Source organism: Homo sapiens, chromosome 2, assembly GCF_000001405.40.
Source record: "Homo sapiens chromosome 2, GRCh38.p14 Primary Assembly".
Classification (NCBI taxonomy): Eukaryota; Metazoa; Chordata; class Mammalia; order Primates; family Hominidae; genus Homo; species Homo sapiens.
The window spans coordinates 30,019,589-30,026,752 of NC_000002.12; the positions used below are offsets into that span (position 1 = coordinate 30,019,589).

Here is a 7,164-nt window from a genome sequence, read left to right on the forward strand (position 1 = left end):
CTTGACCTCATGTGACAGGTCGCAGTCGAAACCCAAGCGAACAACACATAGTTTGTCCAGTGTTCCCAAGGGAAAAAAGACTGTCCCAACCCTTTCAGGTGCTATATACATCCTTCCTGCACATGCCCAGACTCCCTCCCAGCAAGCATGCCCACAAAGGGTAACAAAATGCAGGCTGGGTTCACCAATGGCGGGTTCTCCACAATGCCCCATGTGGGGCCAAGACCTACAGGCATTACTTGCTGTGGTTGTTTATCTATTCTCTACCCTGTGGTGTAAAGGTGTTGTTGAAGATGTCATAAAGGCCTGCAGATGCTCCTATGGATAACAATATAAGAAAAAGAAATAATAAGAAAAAGAGGAAGCATTTATGATTGTCTATAGCATAGAAAGTCAAGCTATAGGAGAAACTGGACAGCAATGTCAGTGTGAAATGTCTTACAGCAGAGTATGGTGTTGGAATAACCACCATATACAGTTTCTTCCCACCTAAAAACATAAAATAGATTGTGGGGTCACCTTTTAATCCAAACACAACATTGTAGGTGGAGACGGAAAGCCTGCCATTGTTTGTGGTTGCTGTTGTGTAACATGACGCAGGTATCCTGGTGATGCTACTGTGCTGCTTAGTTACCCTGACACGTTATTTTTTCACTGTATTAATGGTATGTCACATTTCTTACTGTTAAGTACTTATGTGTGAATAAATATAAGAAAGTGATTGCTAATCAACAGCATGTAAATTCAGAGTCAGGAATAATGGTGAGGCCAAACAACCATAGATTATCCCCATGATTGGCTGAGAGAGTGACACCTTTGCTTTCTGATGGTTCCATGTACACAAACTTTGTTTCAGGCACAAATAATTTAAGATATTGTACAAAATTACCTTTGGGCTATGTGTAGAAGACATATATGAAACATCAATGAATTTCAGGTTTAGGCTTGGGTCCCATCCCCAAGATGTGGGATATATTACGTATATGCAAATATTCCAAAATCCAAACACTTCTGGTACCAAGCATTTCAGGATAAGGGATACTCACCCTGTAATATAAAAACAAAACTTTCCCTGAAGTCCCCAGCAGACTTCAACTTGTTTCTCCTTGATCAAAAGAGTGTGAAATGGCTGCCCTTCGCTGCAAAGGAAGTTGGACCAAGTAGTTTATAGCTGGGCACATTGCTGTTGTTAGAATGTCACAGCATTCCTCAAGCACCTGCAACTGCAAATGGCCAAGCCATCGTTTTCACTTGCCTCCCTTCGACTACTCCTATGCTGTGCCCTCCATCAAGGCCACCACAGCTCCCAAGACAGATCTGTCATTGACTCCCTCCCCTCAAATCTCACATAGGAGGCTCCAAGTCTTTCCAAACAACTCTCACATCCTATCCTTTCCCTGGACTCCTGTCAGCCTTCTTCATCATCTTCTTGCCCTCTCACTCAATCTTTGCAGTCAGCCAGACTCATCTTTCTTTCTTTTTTTTTTTTTTTGAGACAGAGTTTCACTCTTTTTGCCCAGGCTGGAGTGCAATGGCACGATCTCGGCTCACTGCAACCTCCGCCTCCCAGGTTCAAGTGATTCTCCTGCCTCAGCCTCCCAAGTAGCTGGGATTACAGGCGCCTGCCACCATGCCCAGCTTTTTTTGTATTTTTAGTAGAGACGGGGTTTCACCATGTTGGCCAGGGTGGTCTCGATCTCTCAACCTTGTGATCCACCCACCTCGGCCTCCCAAAGTGCTGGGATTACAGGCGTGAGCCACCGCGCCCGGCCAGCCAGACTCATCTTTCTAAAGGCAAAAACAGATCGTGAAATGGTCTCAATTTGTTTTTAGGATAAAACGTAAATTTCTTATCGTGGCTTCTAAGGCCCTTCATGACCTAGCCCTTAGCTATCTCTCCAGCTGTACTTGTCACCACTCTTCCTTTCACATTCTTCGGCTATTCTGAACTTCTTTTCCATTCCTCTAGTAACCAACACTATCTCCTGAATCCAAGAACTTCTGCAGGTCTTTTTCCTCCACCTGGAATATTCCCCATCTACATCCACTGTGTCTAAATAGAATTTCTATCATCTTCACTGCTCAACTTAAGGATCCTGTTCTCCAAAGAGTCTTTCCTCACTCTCCTACAAGAAGATGATAATATTATTGCTGCAATAACAAACAACTGCAAAATCTCAGTGGCTTACATTTTGCTGCAGTAACAACTGCAAAGTCTCAGTGGCTTACAACAACCAACACTTAATTTTCTTCTCATTTCACATGTCAGTGGCTACAGGTCAGCTCTGCTCCCTGTGCCTTCTCATTTTAGGACCCAGGCTGAGGGCACAGTCCCAATCTATGGCATGACATTCTCACAGTGGAAACATGGGATGCCTCTTAAAACTTCTACTCAGACATGGTACACATTCCACCCTCTCACATTCTATTGACCAACACATGTCATACACGACCAAGGATATTATCTTGGGACTGGGAATGTATCCTCCTTCAACAGAGAGATGCCGTGAGTCACACAGCAATGGGAGAGGAGGTATAATCCTTTAACTCAGAAGGAAGAAGACAATAGTTGAGGCTAATCATATAATCTACTACCATGATAATGATAGTGACAACGTTATTTACTGAGTGTTTGCTGTCTGCCAGGCTTCATGCTAAATGCATTAATAAAATTTTTCCTTGTATCCTCACAAGACTACTGAGCACTATTGCTCCCCGCAGATGAGAAAATGGAGGGGAAGGGAGTTGGAGCAACTTGCTCATGGTCACATAATGAGTGGTAAAAGTGTGGATTTAAAACTAATTTCAATTCTGTCTGCTCAGAATTCATGCTTTACATCATTATACCATGCTGCTTCTGTGGCTCACTCCCAAGCTTAGTCTTTACCACCAATTGGCAATTTCCAGGGTAGCTTTGAAAGGAGACATGTGACCAGCATGGTGCCCAGATCGCAGTCAGTGTTTGTAGAGCAAACAAATAAGCTACTGCACCCCATCTCCTATTTTTCAGTTAGCTAATTTGCATTCAAAGTGTCCGTTTCTGTTTGGGTGTCACTTCCTTCCAGAAACTTCCTCTGACCACACAGGCTGGGTTAGGATGCCTCTTCTGTGTGTCTATGGGAAACTGTGCATAGAGCTATTCTTGTACTTATTATAACAAACCATAATGATCTTTGTGACTTGAGAGCTCGCTCATGGCTTCTCACGTCTGAACCCTTCTTTCTCTTCCTCTGCTCCTCTCCCTCCTAGCCCTGGTTGGTCCCCCTGAGCAGGGTTATTATGTCCTCCAGATGGGATCAGACCCACTCACTCATTCTCTAAGGCCTGCTGTGCACACCAGGCAATGCAGTCAGCTCCTTCACCACCAACATCCTGTCTTGCAGAGCCCACAGCCCAATGGAGGAGCAAGATGAGAGACAAGGAATCAGACTGGAAGCATAAAATAATTCCAGATTGCAAAGACAAATATAAATAGAAAAGAGTGATAAGGCATGGGATATCTACTTATCATAGGCTGGTCAGAGAAGTATGTTTTGAGACAGTGATGTTTAGGCTGAAACTGAATGATGAGAAGGAGCCAGCCATGGCACGACAGCAAAACAGCACACCTTCCAAGCAGAGGGAACAACACATACAGAGGTGGCATAAAGCTTGTGTTCTAGAAATCAAAAGAAAGCACATGGCTGGAGTGTATGAGCTGCTGGGGACATGGCTTAATAATGCTGGAGGGATAGATTAGAAATAGATCTCACCAGGCATGTGGGCCATGGCAAGGAGTTTAGATGTGAACCTCTGGAAGGTTCTCAGGAGGGGAGAGACCATCTGCTTTTCATTTTAAGAACATCTTTCTGGCCACTGTGTGGAATAAAGTAGTAGGACACCATTGTATTGTCCAGAAGATAGATGATGATGGTGGCCTAGGCTAAGGAGATGGAAACTAGTGGAGATGGATAAGCTGGTAGATTTTATACATCATGTGATGTGGCTTTAGGCATGCGTCATTTGAGGAGTCTGCAGACATCCACGTGAAGCTGTCAGGCAGATGGAGCTTAGAGGAGAGGTCCAGGCCGGAGGTCTAATTTGAGAGCCATCAGAACACTGATGGGGTTTTAAGCTAAGGGGATAGAGAAAAGAAGTGAACCCAGGACTGAGACCTGGGCATACCAATATTGAGAACTCAGGAAGGGAGACTGAGGCAGTGGATCACAAGGTCAGGAGATCAAGACCATCCTGGCTAACACGGTAAAACCCTGCCTCTACTAAAAATACAAAAAAAATTAGCCAGGCATGGTGGCAGGTGCCTGTAGTCCCAGCTACTTGGGAGGCGGAGCTTGCAGTGAGCCGAGATCAGGCCACTGCACTCCAGCCTGGGCGACAGAGCGAGACTCCGTCTCAAAAAAAAAAAAAAGAAGTCAAGAAGAGGAGGAGCTAGGGAAGGGGGTTAGGAAGGATGGCCAGAGAGGTGGGAAGAAAACCAGGAGACCCTGGAACCACAGATCTCAAGATCAAGAGGCTTTAAGTACAAATGACCGAAAAGCATTAATATTTCTGCCCTGTGATAAATGGATCAAAAAAGATTCTGAATAAATGTTAGTGTTCTTTCCGCCTCTACCCTTAGATATTTACATGTTGATGAAGGTAAACATTTACATCAAAAAAACTGTTCTCTATTTGTGAGATTTTAGGTGTTGGCCTACACAAAGGAACATTTAGGAGAAGGGAGAAGAGTAATGATGAAATTATATCCCATGTAAAGCTAGACCTACCTTATTTATAAGTTTTGTTGCTAGGAGAGTCTTTAGAAACCACCTAGTACCCTGACTTAGACAGTAAGGCCAGCCTTGTGGCATCAATAATGAGCAGCACCTGACAAAATCACTCAAGTGCTCATAATGGGCTACTCTATGGTTGCTCTGGGGGAGGGGCCAGCACTTGTGCTTTAACAAGCCCTCCAGGTAATTCCGATGCATGCTCCAGTTTGGGAACCCCTGTATCACAAGAGCCCCTGGCCTGTTACCCCATTCATAGCTAATTGGTAATGCAGTAAGCACCACGGAATAAATAAGTCAAACCTGGAGCTGATAATCAATATAGCTTGGCAAGTCTTGGTGGCCATCGGTGACAGGACAAAGGGAGACATGCTAGGGCTTATCCCACGGCCCCTGGGAAGCCCCTGGAGGTAGCGTAGCAGCTAGGGACCCCGACTTGGTTGTACCACAGCCTCTGGGTTGTAATCCCTTGTCAAAGATTTTCCGTTTCAGTAATGCTGTTATCCTGGGGATTATGGCCAAATGGAAATACATTAAATTGTAAATCACCTTCCCCACGTGGGCCAAGAGAAGCCCCAGAAGAATTCATTAAAGTGTAATGGTACCTGCACCTGTCATTACGCACGCCTCACTCAAATAAGGCCATAGAATACAGATTATTCACCTGGAATATGGCCACGCCATAATGAGCTCCTCCAGGGTTAGCTCCTAGTGGAGAGTAGGAAAGAGTGAGGCAGCTACTTAGAGCAAAATATTTCCAGGAGTAGCAAGGATGCTGGGCTGGAAGACTTGCCCTGTCTGTACTGCTAATTCACTGCTTGTCCATGGGCAAACTGCTTCTTGTCCTGGCTCCAGTTTCCTCAACTGTGAAATAAATTGTTTCCAGTGCTTCTCAAACTTTAGAGTGCATAAAAATCACCTCAAGAGGTAGCCAGCCATTCCAGTACTCCCAGGACTGAGGGAAGTCCTGTGATATTGGCGTTTCAGTGGTAAAACCATGACAGTGCCAGGCAAACCGAGCCTAGTTGGTCACCCTACTCCTGGAGGGCTTGTTGAATCAGAGTGCTATCCCCTCACCAGGGATTCTGATTCCATGAGGGAGAGGAGGAAGCAAAGGAGAGCAAGAGTTTGCTAACAAGCTCCCTGAATGCCAGGGATAGACTAGATGGTGGTTCCTAAATGCCTTTCTGCAGACAAGCTACATTAGACACACCTGAAGAGTTTGTTAAAAATACCGGTTCCTAGGTTCCAGCACCAGACATTTTTTTTTTTCTTTTTTGAGACGGAGTCTCGCTCTGTCGCCCAGGCTGGAGTGCAGTGGCGCCATCTCGGCTCACTGCAAGCTCCGCCCCCTGGAGTTCACGCCATTCTCCTGCCTCAGCCTCCAGAGTAGCTGGGACTACAGGCGCCTGCCACCACGCCCGGCTAATTTTTTTGTATTTTTAGTAGAGACGGGGTTTCACCGTGTTAGCAAGGATGGTCTCGATTTCCTGACCTCGTGATCCGCCCATCTCGGCCTCCCGAAGTTCTGCGATAACAGGCGTGAGCCACCGCGCCTGCCCTCCAGCACTAGACATTCTTACTCGATGGGGCTAGAGCTGAGTCTAGGAATCTACATTTCTAACAAGCTTCAGTGGTGATGCCCGGTGGGATTGAGAACCACTAAACTAGATCATGTGTACGGTTCCACGCAATTCAGGCATTCTATTACATTTTAAGTGTCTGTGTGCATGTCCATTTAGTAAAAGCTCCCCAAATTTGATGAACAACCCTCAATCATTTTATCTGGCTAGGATCAGTCATGCCTGGCATTAGGCATTTCCATTTTTGCCCTGAGCAAATGCAGCTGTTGGAGGAAGCGCACGGCCCTGGGAGACAGGCGTGCTCATTCAGAGTGGGCGAACACATGCGCTTACTCATGGATGCAGCTCTCATTTGCCCTCGGGGAGACGGAAGCCTGCGTCAAGGAGCTCCAGCAAGCTGCCCGGATATGAGCCTGTCACTGGGGCCTTGTTGCGGATGACTGTGCCCTGGCCTGCGTGTGTCATGCCAGGTGAAGTCAGAGAGGGGACAATAAGTGTCCCCTGTACCCAGGGTTTGGCAATCTTGCTGCGACCGTCTCATGACCCAGCAGACTACAAACAACTTGCAGTGAAATGTAATAAAAGAGTCCAGAGGGAGTGGAGCATGATGTACACCCCAGCCCTACAGAAGTGACAGCCCAGCCCCTGCGGCTGCATCAGGCTCTAAACAGAGCAGGTGCTGCCACCTCCTGGCCCCACTCAGGCTGAGCCACCGCAGTCTCCAGATGCATTTGGAATCTCAAATTGGGAATTCTGGAGATTCGGCCTCGAAAACACCCCAGAGACCATCTAACTCTTCCCACCCCATGTGC

The 7,164-nt window shown here is 46.3% G+C and overlaps 1 annotated feature.

Annotated features, from left to right (window-relative positions):
- Positions 6,394-6,894: an enhancer, noted in NCBI's record as "H3K4me1 hESC enhancer chr2:30248848-30249348 (GRCh37/hg19 assembly coordinates)". NCBI's record gives its function as "activates a minimal SCP1, AML or CMV promoter by ChIP-STARR-seq in primed H9 embryonic stem cells {active_cell/tissue: H9 hESC(primed)}" and the evidence as "EXISTENCE:reporter gene assay evidence [ECO:0000049][PMID:30033119]".